This window comes from Homo sapiens, chromosome 2, assembly GCF_000001405.40.
Source record: "Homo sapiens chromosome 2, GRCh38.p14 Primary Assembly".
NCBI lineage: Eukaryota > Metazoa > Chordata > Mammalia > Primates > Hominidae > Homo > Homo sapiens.
The window spans coordinates 197175534-197196113 of record NC_000002.12 but is presented as its reverse complement, the minus strand read 5'-3'; the positions used below and the strand labels follow the sequence as shown (position 1 = coordinate 197196113).

The 20580-nt window shown below is 39.7% G+C and overlaps 1 protein-coding gene across 20 annotated transcripts in view, besides 1 other annotated feature; it reads left to right on the top strand.

The window, feature by feature from the left end:
* ANKRD44 (ankyrin repeat domain 44) overlaps window positions 1-20580 on the top strand; it is a 343767-nt gene that overhangs the window by 114667 nt on the left and 208520 nt on the right. For all 20 annotated transcript variants that reach the window (NR_160034.1, XR_923062.3, XM_047446287.1 and 17 more), the window contains one exon: window positions 9008-9091. Coding sequence is in view for 18 of the 20 variants with exons in the window: in XM_047446287.1 (XP_047302243.1) it covers window positions 9008-9091 (84 nt within the window). In the remaining 2 variants the exon portion in view is untranslated. The remainder of the gene's footprint in view (window positions 1-9007; window positions 9092-20580) is intronic.
* Window positions 8375-9574: an enhancer, noted in NCBI's record as "CDK7 strongly-dependent group 2 enhancer chr2:198051264-198052463 (GRCh37/hg19 assembly coordinates)". NCBI's record gives its function as "activates an origin of replication core promoter dependent on BRD2, BRD4, P300/CBP, MED14 and CDK7 cofactors, with strong dependence on CDK7, by STARR-seq in HCT116 cells {active_cell/tissue: HCT116}" and the evidence as "EXISTENCE:reporter gene assay evidence [ECO:0000049][PMID:35650434]".

Here is a 20580-nt window from a genome sequence, read left to right as displayed (position 1 = left end):
TATACCAATTTTTCAAAACAGGAAACTGTTGCAGAAGTATATATAGTTGTTCTTTTTGTTTCACTAAAATTACATGGATTTAAATGTTCTGTATGAACTAACCTCCTGGATCCATTGTCCTTTTTGCCCAAATTAGCTTTCTTTAAAAGTTAACTCCCCAACACAATTTAATTATCTTAGCTAAAGTTTAGGTTTGATCTCAAGCCATTTGAAACTAGACAGAGTGAAAAAATCTGTGGGTAGTTGGCAGCAGATCCTGATAGAAATATGGCACTTGGCAAAGGCTGTCTGCCTTGTTTTGATTTGCCTTTCTCTTTATGGATGTGGCCTATTTTTGAAATGTTATGATTTAAATTCAGCGATCAAGTGACAAGTCTGACAAAACAGAGCTTACATCCGCAGAGGTTCTGTGGGGGAAAAAATGGAAATGTTCCAGAACTAAAGGAAGTAACCTCAGTTTCACCTGGAAACATTAGTGTTTCGGAGGCAAGGGATTTGGGCTATATATAAAGAGTGAAGGAAAGTGGCCAAGATGCTGGGCCAAAATTGCATCCAGGAATAGAGCAGACATTAAAGAACCAAAAACTATATCTGTTGTTTTCACCGTATCCCTGTAAGTAGCACCTGGGGAGACTGTGATTAAAAAAAAGATGGGAAAGTTCTTTCCTGTGATGGCTTGGATTGTAGCAACAGCCTTCTAACTGGGCCTCTAACTCCAATCTCTCCTTCTCCAGTACTCAGTGTACACTTTGGCCAGATTAAATTCTTGGGAAAACTCTATTCCTTTCTCCTGCTCATGACCCCCATTCCTGTTTGTCCATAAGATTAGGTAAAGGCTGGGTACAGTGCTCATGACTGTAATCCCAGCTCTTTGGGAGGCTGAGGCAGAAGAATTGCTTGAGGCCAGGGGTTCAAGAGCAGCCTGGGCAACATAGCGAGACCCTGTCTCCACAAAAAAATATTAAAAATTCACCAGGTTTAACAGTGGCCTGTGCCCATAGTCTGAATTACTTGGGAGGCTGAGGTGGGAGCATCGCTTGAGCCCAAGAGTTTGAGGTGGTAATGAGCTATATGATTGCACCAAAAAGATTAGGTTAAAGCTTCTTATGCTGATGTGATGCTCCCCCCACCCAGTTATTCATTTTTCTAACTTCATCTTCTATTATTTTCCAACATGAAAGATTTACTCTCCAGTCCCCAGTCTCATCCTTCAAAATTCTGCTTAGTGCCTACCTTCTTCATCTTTATAACTCAGACCCATGCGGAGCCCCCTCAACTTTGAAAGACTGTAGCCCTTTGTTTTCTGTCTTTTGGTAAGATTATTTTATTGTTAGCCATTTTGTTGCAAGGAATTATATCTATATCTATCTATCTATCTATGTATATGCATTTGGCCACTATTTGTGTAAATATATATGCATACGTATAGAGAGAATGTATCTCATATATGGCAGCTTTTTCCTTAGTGTATAATATTTCTCCATAGGAGGTATGTTGAAACTGAAGCTGAATTCTGATCATGAATTATATATATATTATATTACATGTGAGAGAAAGTACCAAGCTGCGAGAATCAGGAAAACTAAGTTCTAGTCTCAACTTTGTCACTAACAGGCAAATCATTAGACTTCGTCACAGCTCCAAACAGGGAATTCATTTCCTTTGTGTCTATCAGGAGATCACAAAAGAAAGGTGTAACTACATGTATTTATGACAACCTTAAGTAGTAAAATTACAATCTCAGGTCCCATTAAGCTGGCATGAATATATGCAGTTACCTTTTGATTAGTCAAGAAGAAATGATGTATTAGTTCAGTGAGTTATTGGCTTTATAGATTAGACTTCTGAGTACAGAGGGACTGTGTGACAATTTCGAGGTTGCTGAGTGTAACAAAGGCCAAGTCATGCTCAGTTTGATTTTTGCTCCCAGGCCTGTAAAAGCTTCTCTCCCAATATGATGGGCCCCTCTGCTTTAGAGGTGGTGTTGAGTGGGTTATAATCCTAACTCAATTTATTTACTCTGTAGTATTTTAGGAAATCTTTCAAGATCTCTTATTTTTCCTTTTTTAGGATGCACATAAAGGTACTTGTCTATGAAGGTTTTTGAGCTTGTTAAGGTAAACAATCATCCCTGTTTTTATTGCGTGCACACCAGGCATCTGGCCCCGTGCTGGGGGTGTTGCATATGTTGTGTTATTTTTTATTATTTATTTATGTATTTATTTATTTTTTGAGATGGAGTCCCTCTCTGTTGCCCAGGCTGGAGTGCAGTGGCGCGATCTCGGCTCACTGCAAGCTCTGCCTCCCGGGTTCACGCCATTCTCCTGCCTCAGCCTCCTGAGCAGCTGGGACTACGGGCGACCGCCACCAGGCCCGGCTAAGTTTTTTTTGTATTTTTAGTAGAGACGGGGTTTCACCGTGTTAGCCAGGATGGTCTCGATCTCCTGACCTCGTGATCCACCCTCCTCGGCCTCCCAAAGTGCTGGGATTACAGGTGTGAGCCACCGCGCCTGGCCGTTACGTTATTTTTTAAACACATCTATAAAATGGCTATTGTAACCCCATCTTAGAGATGAGAAAACTGAAACGGAAATGGATTGGATTTAATAATTGGTCAGTCTGATACCATAGCATTAATCTTTCTACTATGGAAAAAAAGGAGGTCAATAAAAATTAACATTTTAATCAATAAAAATTAACATTGCCTCCAGATTTCAATTTAACTGATACTGTTATTCCATCACTTCCTTTGGCCCAACTTTTTGTCTGTAACTGGTAACAAAGTTGAATTTTGTTTTACTTTGGGTTGGCCATCGGGTGAGGGTGATAACTAGTGGTATTAAAGAGCAGAGAAACACCCAAAGAGAATCTCAGGAAAGGAAGGAGCAACAAAGGATTAAATGTTCCAAAAATTGGGTAATTGGGGTAGTTGGTCCTTGAGTAACTATTTCATAGTCAGTACCCATGTGTTATTTTCATTGGGAAAAGATTAGGTAATAAATTAATTTTCTCCATTTTCTAATTAGATGTAATTCTTTTTTCATAATGTTAAATATAGAGTTAACAAATATGCTACTTGGAGGGCATGACTATAACATGGAATTTTATGTTTTTTCTGTTTTTAATAGTAATGGAAAATATTATATATATTTACTCTGCAGCATAGCCTGTAGGAGACATTTTCAGACATGCAGTCCTGCCTCACTCCCTGATTTTTTAAAAAATGTATTTATAAGGACTCAGTATATTTTTGTATTGTCCTTATGGTACTTAAGAGGAACAGATTTTGATTTTATGATAATCATTATCTTTCTGGGATGGAGTGAACTTCTCAAGTAAAGGGTGATCTATATTCAGGAAGAACTCAATGAAATCCTTGCAGGAGATCATACAGCAGAACTCACATGAATTCAGTTAGCAGGTTTTGTTCATTAAATCTAGTGACTTGAACAAATTTTTATTATCCTTTCACAAAAGTGCAAGCACTGGCTCCTACAAAAAACAGTTGTTACCTAACGAAGTGTTTCAGCTTGTTCATATAAGTTGATGGCTTCATATGGCTAGATTATTGCTGTATCAGCTATCAGCTACTGATAACACACTCCCATCTTACTTTAATGACATATGTACTCAGAATGCTCAAGGAGGGACAGATGTTTAGGAATATCAAATTTTCCTTCTTGGCTATTGATTGATTCCCAACACCCATTTCTGATTGGAATGCAAAATGTTTTTCTTTTAGACTTGGAGTCTTTATTTTCCCGATCTAATCAGAAAAACACAAGCAACACACCAGGATCTAGAATGAAATGCTGGAGCATCCCTGGATGCTGCTTGGGCTTATTACCATTGACTGTAGTTACCAATGCTCAATGACAGCCTCTGTCACTCTGCCTATCTTCCAAAGCCAATTCATTAGTACAGAGCATGCAACTCTGGCAAAGGGAAAGTGAAATATACTATACAGTGGTTTTAGCAAAAATCAAAATGGTGGTTTCATTAGGGGATTTTGCGGGATGTGGGAGGGCATTGATGACTTCATAGCCGGATGGAGTGGATACTCTAAACTAGCTTGGCTCTCTTTGTAGAACCCATGATGGGCTTCATTCTTAAATGGAGGGTGTGTCTGATGACATCAGTAGCATATTTTTTTCATGGAATTGACATAATAATTGAATTGGATTTCACAGATGATGAAAATGATACCTTAGCACGTAGGTTTTAGATAGTTTTATTCTTATTTCTAAAACCTGGATCCTCAGGGATCAATAGGAATTTTTTGTGTTTGGTGTTTTTTTGTTTGTTTGTTTTAGTATGTGCATGGTGTGCATGTTTACTTATGACTAAGAACTCTTTCAGAAGCTTGAGTTCTTTTATGTTTTTAATGAAGTGGATTTTTCAATTACCTTACTTCCTTAATTACACATCCTGAACCTTTGCTTTTACCTCCCAGGTAACAAATTACCATCTTGCTCCCCCTAGTGGAATTTTGACTCTACTTCAAAGTTTGAGAATAACTATCCCTAGTACATATTTGATTTAGCATTTTATTTTTGGAAGTCTGGTATTTTCCCAGTTTGTTTTCAGGGTGAGAATAAAAACAGAATATTTTATTGGATGTGCCGATAGGGGATGTGGGTAGAGAAAGTGGCTTTCGGCTGATTAGATTTCAGTTCCAAGGGTTAGCAAGTTCAGCTACAAAATTTATAAGATCAAGGGGTCTTTCTGTTCCCCATTTCTATCTTAGAGGGGTCAAGTGTCATCAGCTTGGCAGACATTCACCTCTAGAAGGCAGCCGTCAACACTCCTGGAAAGGTAGTAGGGGGCTAGTTGTTGGTGATTTTGAAGGCAAGGACAGGTCCCATCTGAACAACAAATCCCACTTGTGCTTTTGGTAAATTTGGCCCAGGAAGTGTCCTTCTGTCTTCTGAATCTACCAGAGGCACTGCACCAATATCTGCAGCACTGACAATCATTTTGCAGCTGCTAAGCATGCTAAGAAAATTCTAGCAATTGAAGCTAAAAAGACTGCATACCTCTCTTAGGAATTTAAATTTCTTTAGGGGATGATGATCAATGATTTCATGGTATCTGAATCTCCTTTTTTCCTACCACTATTTGTTTTTCTCAATTTTGACCCTTGTTACAATTTTGTATTTATTCAACTCTGTACCCTACTGTACACAAAGCACTCGTGTTATATATGCTAGTGCTAAAATGTGTGAAACTTTAAAAAGAAATATCTGTATATGCCAAGGCTTGGGACTCTGCTCTTGTGCAGGTAGGACTTTGCTTCTAAGCCTTATTTAAGTTAAGACAAAAGCTGCAAAAGTTATGATGGTTGCCAAATTAATGAACAACAGAATATATGTCCTTAATACTTATGAGCAAGAATATTGTAATTAGAATATTCTTTGCCTTAAACATCATATAATATAGTATTTAGATATATCTTTTCCCCAATATTTTTTCTTAGGTTAAGTGTTTACCTGGGGAAAAATAAAACAGCAGGATCTCATTAAAATTCCAACAAAAAGGAGTGCCAAAGTGCTCTCTGGGAATGTTTTTGGGAGTGTGGAGAGAAAAAAAGAAGAAGCAGTCATAATATTTAAAAAATAAATATTACTTGCTCAAGAATCATTATGCATTCCATTCAGTAATTATATCCATACAAACACACAGCTTCAGTTGAAGCAAAGCACGTTATCTGTGAAGTTCTAGTTTGAAATCCCATGATGCTTAAATTCATAATTGTGAAGGCGATGTCTCAGTAGCCACATGGCACAGTTGAGCTAGAGATGTCCATATAGCAAGGCTTTGGGATGTGGAGAACAGCTGCTTTTTTATTCCACGGGAAGTAGAAGGGGTTTGTGTATGACTCAACATGTGTCTCTATGCATGCATGCCTGAGTGTAGATAGGTATGCATATGTACCTAGGTGCATATGTATGCATATATGTGACTTCAGTATTGGAAGAGTTATAATGATAGCTCAGCCTCTTCTTCCTAATGGCTCCTGGGGATTCTGTGCCTTGACAATTCTCTATAAAGTAGCTTTTAGCAGCATTAGTCCCAGAGGCACCACTCCCTGCTGAGGACTGTGCTGGCGCCCTTCTCTGGAAGCTTTTTTGGGATGCCTCTCCTTGGTAACATTCCAGCCATAGCTTGGAATGCTTGCCTTTCTTCAGAAGTGTGAGGACGGAGTGAATGCAACAGAATGTATGTATTCCGTACACTCGCAACTGGGAGACTCTGCTCACCTCATTATGTTCCCTTAAAGTGACTAAGTAGTGGTGCATTAACTACTGTGTTGGGTTTGTTCCCCGGAATCTTAACTGTTCAGCTGTTGATTGACTACTCCTGATTTAACATGAAAATCTTGTCAGACACTGCCTCTACTTATCGTTCTCTGGTTGTGGAGGTTTGTTGCTTGTTTTCTTTTAAGGTCCAAAAAGGCAGAAATGCACACATGAGCATTTGGCCATGAGCACAGCAGATGGAGAATTATGGAGCAGATAAACAAGATTCAATATTTTTTTTTGTCGAAACCCTGAATTTGTGTCTGGCTCTGTGTCTTGTGTGAAATGTGGTCCTTGCCACGGGGCAGATGTAACCCGAACGGAGACTTGGTTAGCAGGTAGTTAGGGGGAGTGTGGAAGGATCTGCCTGTCTTTAAGCAGAGTAAGTAGCTAAGACTGAACTAGCAGTAAACTTGTATTCTTTTCAAGACTTCTTTCCTGCTACTTAATTGTTGGCAATTTCAGAAACTATCCATACACCTTGTCAAGAAGCAGAATTGAGAGGGTGTTTTCGAGAAAGAAAAAGAGATATATGTTCATTTGCTGGGAATTTTTATGGCAGAGGAGAAACCCATGGACAAATTCCTGGCATATTGAAATATCCATTCTGCACCTTGACATTTTTACATAGTGTTTCCTCAAGGAATCTTACTCTGTCTTACTGATAGTACTTATATTGGTCCCCCAAACTAGCAATAAACAGCAACATAACCTGTAAGAAAGCCAACAGGAGGATAAAAAGAGAAAAGAGGGTTTATAGGGAAAATGACAACTCACATTCCCAACAGCAGATCACAGGGTGAGGTCAAGGTATGTGACACTAGTGATTTCACCTGAGGCCAGTGCTTGCCACCAGTTCCTAAGAATTGATAGGTACTTGTTAAAATCTAGATTTGCAGGTCCCCACCCTGAATGTATTATATCCTTAGGAAAGGGATCTGGGACTATTTTTTTTAATAGGCATCTCCGGTGATTCTTATGGTCAGACACATTGGGGAAACTGCTGTCATCTAATCGACTACTAGGACTAAGATATTTCTAGAATTTTGGGTGAATGTGTGTGTGTGCATAATTACCAAGGATCTTAAGGTTAAAAGAAAATTATCAACTACTCCATCTTGTCATCGTGAAACATTTCTTAATGAAAACATCTATGTAGGGTTGTCTGGTTAGAGGACATTTTCTCATGTACTACCTCATTTGATCCTAATAACAATCCCATGAGGAGGTTAGGCAGCGATGATCATGCTCACCCCCAAGTTGCATGTAGAAATGGGCTTTGCATGTGGCTAGCAAGTGTGAGACTGGCTTTGAATAGCATTTTTTGCCATGCAGGCAAGCCCAACATCAACCCTAAAGCCTGCCACTGTTCCTCTTTTACCCCACACTCTGGTCAGTAACATATCAGGTTCTTTGCACATCCACACCTTTGCACACCTGTACCTCCTCTGTCTTCCTTCCCTGTCAGCAAATCATATTTATTCATTAAGGTGCCTTCCTTAAGCTTTTTTGGATACACCCTTGTCTTCACCCAGCCTCCTACCCAAGTGGAGCTAGCTGTTCTTTTGGTTGTGTTTCCATCACACTATATAGATCCTTCTACTGCATGCTGGGGTCTTGTTTAATGTAGATGAGTTCAATAATAAGAGCTTGGTAACACCCCCCTCTTCTTCCCTAAACTGCCATCGTGCCACTTACTTTTAATAAGCAGTAGATGTAATCATGTTTAAGACAGTACTTGTTGGCTAAAGCTATGGGAGGCATTTGGGAATGATTTCAAGGGTTTTCCAAATACCGACACAAAAGTGTTCCGGTGGCCAGAAACATGGCCATTAGCATCCTCTAGGAATGGAATTATTTGAGGATAACAAGGAACATTGTCTAACAAGAAGTAGAGGAATCATAGGGAACTGTCTTAGTTTGCTCAGGCTGCCATAACAAAATACTATAGACTGGATGGCTTAAGCAACAGAAATTTTTGTTCTCCCAGTTCTGGAGGTTGGAAGTCCAAAATCAGGGTTAGTTTCTGGTGAGGCCTCTCTTCCTGGCTTACCAACGGCCACGTTTTCACTGTGTCTTCACATGGCCTTTCCTCCTGTGTGAGAGAGAAGAAAGAGAGAGAGGGAGAAGAAGAGGGAGAGAGAGAGAGAGAGAGAGAGAGAGAGAGAGAATGAGAACGTGAGCTCTGGTGTCTCTTCCTCTTCTTATGAAGACACCGGTCCTATTGGATCAGGGCCACACCCTTACGACCTCTTTTAATCTGAATTATCTCCTTAAAGGCCCTGTCTCCAAATACAGTCGCTTTGGGGGTTAGGGCTTGCAACATATCAATGTTGGTGGGGATACAATTCAATTCATAACAGGGATTGTATGCACAAAACCACAGATTTAGTAGTTTCCTTGTCAGGGATTTAAGGGCCTATCAAAGTTTCAGTGATGGGTGGTGTTCATGGTACATTCACTGTAGTTCATAGTTCAGGTTAGAGACTATCTGGCCTGGCTTTCAGATTGTATAATAGTTATTTCTTTATGTAAATATCTCCCCCACTGGACTTCTTGTAAGGGTTGGTCTGAGTCTTATTCATCTTTGTCTGCCAACTGATAATGGTTCAATAAACTTTTAAGGAACAAATCTTCTCACCATCTGCATCTGTATGTGATCAGATGTATTAATTTTAGTTCTGATTCCCATTCTCTTGTGTTTGCAGCCACCATTGGTTCAGGCAATCTTCAGCGGTGATCCAGAGGAGATCCGGATGCTCATCCATAAAACTGAAGATGTGAATACTCTGGTAAGAGATACTGTGGTTTTGCTACTCAGGCCCTGTTAGCCTGGAGCAGGAAAGGACTCTTAACCTTTTATATACCATGGACTCTTGATATCTGGTGAAAGCTCCAGACTGTTTCTCAGGACACTGTTCTTAAACCCTATATAAGAAATAAAATATCTAGGGTTACAATGGAAATCAGTTATTGAGATACAGTTACCCAAATATTAAAAATATACTTTGTAATATGGTAATATATGTGCTTTTAAAAAAAATAACACATTTAGGCTGGGCGCAGTGGTTCATGCCTATAATCCCAGAATTTTGGGAGGCTGAGTTGGGCAGATCACTTGAGCCCAGGAGTTTGAGACCTGGGCAACATGGTGAAACTCTGTCTCTAAAAAAAAAAAAAAAAAAAAAAAAAAAAAAAAAAAGAAAAATTAGCCGGGCATAGTGATGGAGGCACAGGTGGGAGGATTGCCTGAGCCCAGGAGTTCGAGGCTGCAGTGAACTTTGATCACGCCACTGCACTCTAGCCTGGTTGACAGAGTAAGACCCTACCTCAAAAAAAAAATCTGGTTAAATAACCAGATACAGCAGAAGATCTAAGAGTGAGCATAATTTAAATATAGTGATGAGCATAATCAGTATTTTGAGTTGTGTGCAACAACTCTAATGTTATATGAACATACCTGTGATTTCTGCTGGTGACAGCATTACAGTTACTGATGTTGCTACTGTGGTTTATGGCCTACATTCATAGTGGAAGGAAATGCTAAATTCCAATCAGAAGTCAGTGATAATAGAGGTGCAATTTTTTTTCCAAGGTGATGAACCCCTGGAACCCATGCCCTGCAGCAGTGGTTGGCAACCTATGGTACATCATACATTTTTTTCTGCAGGCCTCCTGCTAAAAATGGTTTTTATTTTTCAAGTGTTGAGAAAAAAATCAAGAGAAGAATAATATTTTGTGACACATGAAAATGACCTGAAATTCAAATTTGGTGTTCATAAATACAGTTTTGTTGGAACACGGCCATACTCATTCATTTATGTATTATCTGTGGCTACTTTTGCACTGCAACAGCAGAATTGGGTAGTTGTGAAACAGACTATAAGTGGCTCACAAAGCCAAAGATATTTACTATCTGTTTTTTTAGGGAAAGTTTGCTGACCCTTGCCCTAAAAGGTTCATGACTCTGGGTCTGGGATCAGTGGGTGAACTAGGCATCCTGTGTGCCCTCTGAAGTCACAGGCAGTAGATATGTGCACTATATACATATTTTGTGTGAAATGAATCAAACTATTTCATCAAGTTCTTAAAAAGGTATCTGACTCCCAAAAGATTAAGAATCACTGTATCTGGAAGGTCCTGACACAAAAAAACAAACCTTCAATAAAGAAAGGTAAAATGATTTAGTCAATGATTTACCCTTTTAGTAGTTTCCTAGATTTGAGTTGAACAAGCAATTATGTACAGTACATGCTACTAATTCTCTTAATGTAATTCAATTGTGAAATACTGAAGTCCACCAGGGAGAGGAGTTCTCTTTAAAGTCTCTAGTGTTAAGTAGAAACAGAAGTTGTCAACTACATCTTCAGTGTAAGAGGAGCTTTGCCACAGGGAGGTGGATTACGTCTGTCTGGTCGGCTGAATGCTTTATTCAGAAGGCGAGTCATTTGGTGTAGCCATTGTTCCATGGCAGTGCAGGTTGGTGTGGCTTTTGCAAAAGCTTTTGGCAGCTTCTCCCCAGCTGGCACTAAGCACAACAGGACAATGGTTTGTGACATTTTTGCAAGGTAAGCACAGATGAGGCCAGGGACAGGCTACTCCAGAAGGCAGTTGGGCATTTGTCCAGGGCCTGCGGGTTGCGACCTGTGCTTCTGAGCCAAGGCCAGGCCAGCAAGCTCCCTTTCCAGTGTTCTGACATCACGGGAATCCACCCAGCCTGTTTTGTGGCTGTGGCCCAAGCCCAGGGAAGCCCAAGCCATGGTTACTATATTTTCCTAATGATCATGAGCAAATGGAACTTTTGTTCTGTCATACATACCAAAAAAGTTTGTACTGGCCCCTGAATGGCCTTCATTTCTTTTTGGGAAAGTGACAAAACAGTTGCTAGCTGGTAAAGGTTAGGGGAGCCTAACTTCAGTTGTAACTTATCACTGAATTAGATAGGTTAACTACTGTTACACATAGACCCCTAAATGTATGATGGATGTATGATGTATGAAGTTTAGGTCTCTTTATGAACATATTAGAGGGGTGGTCCTTTTCCAAACAGGATCCCAGGTAGCAACATGTGGCCTCTAAGATCACCACAGGGGTTGTGTGCAGTCCTGCCACCCCAAAGGGAAAAAGAGCATGGAGGAAAAGCATGGAAGGATTTTTTTTTTTTTTTTTTTTTTTGAGATGGAGTCTCGCTCAGCTGCCCAGGCTGGAGTGCAGTGGCGTGATCTCGGCTCACTGCAACCACCATCTCCCGGGTCAAGCGATTCTCCTGTCTCAGCCTCCCAAGTAGCTGGGATTACAGGCACCCGCCATCATGCCCAGCTAATTTTTATATTTTAGTAGAGACAGGGTTTCACCATGTTGGCCAGGCTGGTCTTGAACTCCTCACCTCAGGTGATCTGCCTGCCTCGGCCTCCCAAAGTGCTGAGATTACAGGCGTGAGCTACTGCGCCCGGCCACCATGGAAGGATTTTTATGGGTCAGCTTGGAATTAGCATACATCACTTCCACTTATATTCCATGGACCAGAATTTAGCCATGGCCATACCTAGCTACGAGGGAGAGTAAGGAATTAGTGTATCTGTGTGCCCCCAAAGAGACGGCATGGATTTTAGTGAGTAGTTAGCAATCTTGGCCACACCAATTTTTGGTCTTAGAGAATTCTAGTGATGCCACTTATTTGTCTGGGAGATGTCTTATTCATCCATAGTTATGTATTGAGTTGAGACTGTGTGCTCAGTGCTAGGGACACAGCAGTGAGATGGCACCCTTTCCATGATAGAGCTTACAACATAGCAGAGAAGTCAACAAATGAGAAATTACACTGTGATGCAGTTTTGAAAGAAAAAATCCGGGATGCTATGTAGGGAGAAGGTTAATCATGAGGACCTGATAAAGTGATGTGTAACCTGAGGCTTGAGAGATATATAGGAATTTGCTTTGCCTTTGTGGGCTGTTGGGTGTGTGGCAACAGATAAGCAGGGGATGGAGGGAGGGAGAGAAATGAACACAAGAGTGGTTGAATGAATGAATGAATGAATGGATAAAGAACACAAGGAGGGCCTGAGTTCTTAGGTTGATGTTACCACTTTTTGGGATCCACAGGCCCTTTTGTTCTACTCACCCCTCTTTAGACTCTCCCTTTAACTCCCCCTTTCTGCTCCTTCAGGTGTGTACAAAGATCATTTGACCCCACACTTATCCAGCATGTCCTCTTGTCATGGTTTTCTTTTGCCAATGCCCTTGGGGATGAGTCATAGTGACTATTTTTGCTGGGGGTGGATTAGGTAGTTTAAGAGAAGTGGTTGTTAAGAAAAGGCATAGACAGATGGAGGACACATAAGGATTGGAGAGCTAAGCCTGGAGGTGCATTTCAAAGGGGAAAAGGGGCTGATAACCATGTATTTAAATGTCAAGGAAGGAAAATAAATAGTGCAGGAGCCACTACTCACTAACTTGGAAGGCCATATTTGTCTTCTTACCCCTTGCTTTTCTTTCTTTCCCCTCATTTATTCACTTAATTATGCTTTTCTGTCCTAGGTTCTGAGTTTTTCACCTTTCCCTGCCCTCACCTCTCCACGCTTTTTGATGGGTCACATGTTCTCTGGTGTAAATCACCCATTCATTAACTGATCCTGATATAGAAAGCCATCTTATTCAGCTTGGCCTCTGTGTTTTTCCAGACTTTATTTCCCCCAATAGTATTTATAAACTCTGTGCCCCACTAACCACATGACTTGACTCATTGAGATTTATTCTATTCTCTCACCCTTTTCTCACTTCTCCACCCTTCCAATTCCATGTGTCCTTCCATACCTACTACTTCCTCCATTAAGTTGTCCTACTTCTCACTTCCTTTCTGCTCTCTTCTCTACCACCTTCTCAACCCAGCCAAAGAAACCTACTTCTACCCTCAACTCCCACAGCTCTTTGTACTGCATTAATCACTGTTGACTACTGCTTAAAACTGTAGCTGACCCTTGAACAACACAGCTTTGAACTTGGCAGGTCACTTATATGCAGATTTTTTTCCAACCAAAGGCAGGATGAAAATACAACATTCGTGGGATCTGAAACCTGCATACAGGGAGGGCTGACTTTTCATATATTTGGGATCTGCAGGCCCAACTCAGGGACTTGAATATGTGCAGATTGTAGTGTATGTGGGGGTCCTGGAACCAATGTCCCACATATACTGAGGGAAAACTGTATATGCTTGATGACATGGTCACTATCTTATTCACTGTCATCTGCTCAATCGCCTAGTCCAGTCCTTGCAGCACATTTGACTGAATGACTCAACCCTACTTTATTGCTTATGCTGAGCCAGTTTTTGGTAGCTTATAGTTCATTTCTCCCAATGAGGATAAATTGTTGAATAGAGGAAGCATCCAGCTTAGTTAGTTTCCCTCAGGTATCATTTGTAAGACTGGAAATTCTCCTTGTAAGATTGAAAATCTGTAGATTGAATTGAGGAGCCACTGAAGGGTCAGGAGGGGCACACTGAGTCTTTTTATGGTTTCTGTGGTTAATGGCATACCAGGGCCTGGAAATATGGGATGATCATTGTACACTCTGAGAAATCTATTTAAATCGACGCAGATTTGGCAGATAGCTAGAAAGATTTTAGAAGCCTCCACCTGACTAACCAAACTGAGCTCAAGATGGAGAATAGCATCTGATTTCAAAATTTGGAAGGCAGAGATTTTATAAACCAAAATTTGAATTCAATAAAGGCATTTTGAGGATTATGTTATGACAATGTGATGTCAAGAGGACACTTTTACTGTGTCCTACTGGAACAGGGACAGAGACAAAGTGACGCCTGTCAGTGGTGAATGATGATGATGGGGAGGGAACCATGCTATGTGAAGAGTGGTTGAAGAAACTGGTGATGTTTCACACTTGGAGAGGACAAGAGAATGGCCCCAAATAGTTTAAGTTAACACTGTCAAATTAAAACGGAACTAGACTAGGCTTGTCATTATGTCATGTGGTTGTAAGCTATAGAAAATAAGATGTTAGCTCAAAAGATAAGAATTAACTTAATAGACAGAGCTGTCTAGAGAAGCAATGAGTCGAATTGGCAAGAAGTAAGCTCCCTGAAAGACCGCTAGACTGGAAGTTTGAAAGGTGACTAATATGGTAGCACATATGGCCCCATTCTCCTATCTTGTGACCCTGGCCAACATTGCTAATGGTTCATGGCACTTTTTTTCCTTTGAGTCTTAGAGACTAAAATTTCTTCTCAGGATAGTACTATGAAATTGAAGTGCACGTAAATTGAAACTTCCTCTCCATGCCTGGACGAGGTAATGTTTAAAGTCTCTTACAACTGTGAAAGATTATAGTCCCAAGGGTTGTGAGTCTCACATGATAGCAAATCCATGATGTTTATTTCGTTTTTTAAAGTATCATTAATAGAAACACACATTATCATACCAAATAGAATTAACAACGATGCCTCAATATCATTTAATATCCAGTGCATCCTCCATTTTATTTTGTTTTCAGTAGTTTCAAAAATATCCTTTTTTCAGTTGAATTGTCCCCAAGTTGATCATTTTAATCCATCTACTTTATAAAAAATTTTTTTTGTAAAGCTGTTAACACTTATTATTTGCTCTAATAGGATTTGACCCAAGTAGATTGGTGTATTTTGCTTACTCTCTCCAGTTCCAAAATGGGATGCTTTGTGAATACAATGGAATAAATCTGGAGGTGCAAGCTAAGCTTATGTTGCTAAGGAATGTATAGTAAACAAGAGAGAAACCTATTACAGCTGCCATTCTTGACTACAGGAATTAATTCAGATGGATTAATTATTGAATCTCAAGAGCCAAGTGAGAAAAAAAATAGACACTATATGATGAGGGGACTTTTCAAAGAAATAAGGCACATTTACAATAGCAAGCTTGTAATATGTATGCATGTGTATGTGTATGTTGAAGTGTTGCACTATTTCTTTTAAAATAGAGTATATTTTAAAAATCCACCCAGAAGGACTCAATATGGCTCCACTCAAAGAACTTGGGATGATCAATTTAATATCTTCTTTAAGTTTTTCTCTAAGTTTTTCTCTGCTTGATTATATTATGTCTAAGACTCTTAAACATTAGAAATACAAACTATGTAGCCCAGCTTTTTAAACTTCTAGATTTTTATGTATTTTTCTCACCTACATATATCCTACTTGATTTTTTTTCTTTTTAATAAATAATTTGATATGAAGATGAAGGACTGAGATGTTTTGCCGGCTTAGAGACTTGGGCACCTTCTAAACAAGACCTGAATCAGAAACCACTGGGAGTAAGGAGGCTGCAGGGAATGGCGGTGGCACACTCAGGTCCCATAAATGATAGAAGTGCACAGTGATCACGAGTGATGAATGGCTCAGCTCTCATCAAGCACCCTGCAGGAATGCAGGTGCAGTGTGGCCCAGGCTTTTCAGACTTTTAAGAGAAAATACAGGAAATCTCTAAATTGTTAAATGTCGGTTCCAAAAGATGACCTAACAATGTGCAGGCCAAAGAAAACACATCCGTGGGCCAAATCCGGCCTGCAGGTCACCGTTTTGCTAACTGTGGATGAGATCAGCAAATATTCAGTGATGAAGGTTTCTCTGGCCACATGCATCTGGAAAGTAAATGCCATGGTTGCGAAGCCAAGGGCCCCAGTGTTCTGGGAAGAGCAGTGGCCTGCACTTTAAACGTTGACACTGTTTCTGGCTCGCTGATTAGGGGCCGGGGTGGGGGAGGTGGAGGAAAGCTGATGGTTTTTTCACAGATCTGAGAATGGTGCTTTTTGTCTTGAGGGTAGGTGCCCATCTCTCAGCACATGCCTGACAATATTGTCACACTCCCCATCCACTCTCATCCACGCCCCCCTTGTTGGACCCCTGCCCAGGATGTGGGGCTGTAGTTTGGAAGCCCTGACCTATACCCTGTAAAGAATGATTTATGAACTCCAGGCAGCACTGAGCAGGCTTCAAAGATGTGGCTTCACGGCCATTTAAAATGTGCAAAGGCAGGTCTGGTTTGCATCATCACTAATTATCCTATGGAGGATGCTCAGCAGCTTGAGGCCTGAGCTCTCCAGCACTGGACATGGAGGCCAGACACCCAGCCTCCAAAAGAGAGACAAATCTTATAATGGTATATGATTTGTACCCTCACATACTAGAGATGGATGTTTTGGAGCTATGGAGAAACATTTCAAGTGTATGGCATTAGTATTATTTTGCAATTACTGGACATTTTTGTAGTACAAAGAAAAATATAAGAATTAAAAATGTACTTTGTAAGTAGTTTGAGCATGTAAACATAAAGGATATGGCCCTTTCTTCATATTAGATACGCATTTGGACAGAGGATGTAATTGTGAATAAATAAGGCACATTATTAGGTAGAAAGAAGACAATACTTAAGATGGTAATTGTTTGAAATTAATGTATAAATTCAGGGCGATTTGGTGGTAGGAGTTGAGTGGGGAAACTTGACAAAATAATTCTAAACTTTATCTAGAAGAATAAACATGTGAGACTAGCTAGGAAACTCTTGAAAAAGAAAACTGATGAGGGGAGGGTTTCATAAAATATATTAAAACAAATTACAAAACGATAGCAATCAAAACAGTATGTTAATGGCACAGGAATAGACAAAGTAGTAGAACAGACTAGAAAGTCCAGGATTAGAAGCAACTATATATGGACATTTGGTATAGGATAAAGGATGCATTTTTTTTTTAAGAGTCAGGGTCTCTCTCTGTCACTCAGATTGGAGTGCGGTGGTGTGGTTATAGCTCACTGCAGCCTCAAACTCCTGGGCTCAAGTGATCCTCCTGCCTCAGCCTCCCAAAGTTTTGGGATTACAGGCGTGAGCCACTGCACTCAGCCAAAGGAAGCATTTTAAATCACTGGGGCTGGAATGGATTATTTAATAAATGGCATTGAGACAACTGCTAGATAGATGTAAATATGTAAAGCTGAATCCTTACCTAATTTCTTATACCAAGGTAAATTCAAGATGTAGAAAATAAAAAGATGAAAACAGCGGAATACAAAAAGGGGAAAATATTTCTGCAATCTTGGTATGGGGAAGGACTTTCTAAGCATAATAGAAAAGATAAAAATAATGGAAAAGGTGGTTACCTTTGTCAATCAAGTAAACATCTAATATATTTTTTGGCTATTTGCATTTTTTCTTTGGTGAGTGGCCTCTGCATGTCCTTTGCCCATTTCTTTATTTGGTTATTTATCTTTTTCTCAACCTCACATGGCATCTAAGGATTCAAATAAAACAATGATATACTGTCATTCTTTTTTTTTAGTTAAAATTTTTTTTTTTTAGAGACAGGGTTTCACTCTGTTTCCCAGGCTGGAGTGCAGTGGCATGACCATAGCTCACTGCAGCCTTGAACTCCTGGTCTCAAGCAGTCCTCCTGCCTCAGCTTCCCAAGTAGCTGGGACTACAGGAGTGTGCCACCATGCCCTGCTAATTTTTTAACTTTTTGTAGAGACAAGTTCTCGCTGTGTTGCCCAGGCTCGTCTCAAACTTCTGGCCTCAAGTTATCCTCCTGTTTTGGCCTCCCAAAGAAAGTGCTGGAATTATAGGTGTGAGCCACTGTGCTCAGCGTGGTGTCATTCTTGACCCTCCAGTTGGCAAAGATGAAAATCAAATCCCAACCACTCTGATGCCTTTTTGGGGAGAGTAATTTGTACTACCCTTTGGAGGGCAGTTTGGCAGTATGCATCAACATTCTAACTGTGGGGGATTCACCCTAAGAGAAATAATTGGTTAACTATATATACAAAAAGATGTTTGTTGCTATCTGGTTTATAATAACCAGAAATTGCAAACAACCAATAGGTTATTTCTTAAATTTATTGCAGAACATCCACATGAGGTTGTATCATGTTATCTTTAAAAAGTGTGCTTTGTATTTATCTGCATATGTATTTATTACATATTGAAAGGTAAGCTCTTCAAGATATATTTTTGAGTGAAACAGTTGTTAAACAGCAGATATCATGTGTATTTGTGGGTATAGAAGAAGAAATCTAGAAGAATATTCTCCAAAACATTAATTATAGCTGAATCTTGGTGGTGGGATTTTTGCCTTTTTCTTTATTTCTTTATGTATTATTAAAGTTTTTTTACACTGACCATGTATTATATTTAGAAATGGTAAAAAATTTATATAAATATATACACACACACACACAAACACACACACAAACTCACGAGAAAGCAAACTAGCTTCCCAAATTGCTTTACTATAAAGATTTGACTTTTAAAATGTGTTCATTGTATTTGTCAGTTTGAATAAGTGTAGAGCACATTTCAGTGGCGTGGTACTTACTACTCACGGTGACAAGCATAATGGCGCTCCCATCTTTTACATATTGCAAGGGCTCTTCTCATGGGATTAGCTGGACCCTGAGGAAGTGGTGTTGGTGGGACCTGTTGCCATCTTAGTAGAATTCTTTTCTTTCTTCTACCATCATCACATTTTATATAATAAATTATGGAAAATGGATTATTAGTTTTGCTCAAGCTAAAAATCAATTAAAACTTTTCAGATACCTTTTACTTTCCAATTTCTTTTACAATGAAAAAACGTAATCAGAAAAATTTTAAGAAGCTTTTTGGAAAAGTAATAACTCTTACGTTTCAAAAGTGAATGGGCAGAGGTAACCACATACCCAGATTATTCTTAAAAGACATGTTTAAATGAAAAGGATATAAAGTATATTTTAGATCAACTAATTGTGCCGGCCCTGATTTTTACCAAGGACCTATTGCTTTAGGTTTCAAATGTTAAATAACTATATGATTATGACAGCCAGAGGGCCTTCCAACTGTAAGTTTGTAGATGTATTATTATTATTATTATTATACCCTTGAAACACTGACTTTAAAAGACCTGAAATGTGTATATGGTATTCAGTTAGGGTAAGAAGCCTAGGGGGTTGGAGAGGTAGGTAAGATTTTTTACCAGGAGGTTGCATAGCTGGTTATACCCGGGTCACTTGCCAACTGTCTGCTCAGAAGGCTATTTCTGGCAGTGTAGGATAGTATAAATGGGTTTCTCACTTTGTACTTTCTAAAGTCTTTCTGCATGTAACACAGGCTGTCTTTTCCTAATCTCTCAGTTCCCCTTTCTAAACCTCTTTCTGGTTTTCCCTACTCCTACAAGCTCATGTCCAGAGTTGCTGATATAATTCCTTTACAGCCAAGCTGCTATGTCCTCACTTAATATATTTCATTTATTGGTAAATAATCCATATCAGTCACACCAAAATACAACTATGAGTATAGAGAGCACTGGGCTTGGCTTGAAGATAGAAGTCTTGGGTTCTATGGGTCCTTGAGCAAGCCAATTAACCTCCTCTGGCCTCAGTTCTATAATGTGGGCATCATAATAAACTTTATAAGGTGTGGTTAGGGAGATGAGATGATGTATGTATATCAGTTAGGGTAAGATTTGGCTGCATTCAACAGAGAAACAACAAAAACAGCAAAACCGTAGTTTTCAGTAAAGTAGACATGTAGTTTACTAAAATTTCGAAGTTTTGAATAAGATAGAAGTTTATTTATTTCCCATGTGCAAGTCCAGAGATAGGCTGTCCAGGACTAGCATGACACTCCATGGTGTCACAGTCCAATCTTTGTTTCCTTTTGTGCTGCCATCCTTGGTAGATGGCTTCTATCTCCTTGCTCAAAATGGCCACTTGAGCCCCAGCCATCACATCCAAATTCCAACTAGTGGGAAGGAAGAAGGCAGAAGAAGGGTATGCCCTCCCTCTTTAAGGACACTTCCACTAAGGACACAATTGCTTATATATTGTCCGGAACTGCATTAGGTGGTGATGTACTTTTAGGAACCTAAAAATCAGGGTTCCTATTATGAAAGCAAGAGAGATGTTGGGGTAAAACAGCAGTCTCTGCCATGGTATGTAATAGCCTTTTGTGACCTAGGAAATGCTCTGAGTACAGAAATATGTATCATTTATGTAATACTGTCATGAATAACCTCAGTTACATTCATTCATTCACCAAATATTTTTAAAATACTTCTTACAGATGTAGCACTAGAGCTGACACCCTGAATACTTCATTGTGTACTTTCTTGGTCAATTTATGTTAACTCCAAAAAGCATTGAAGGAATCACATTGCTGCAACTTTTTTCTGCTTTGAGCACCTGGGAACAGAACATGATACCATGTCCCTTTCTTTGGGGGAGGGAGGGAGAAGGGTGACACTAGTACATACTAAATGGTGG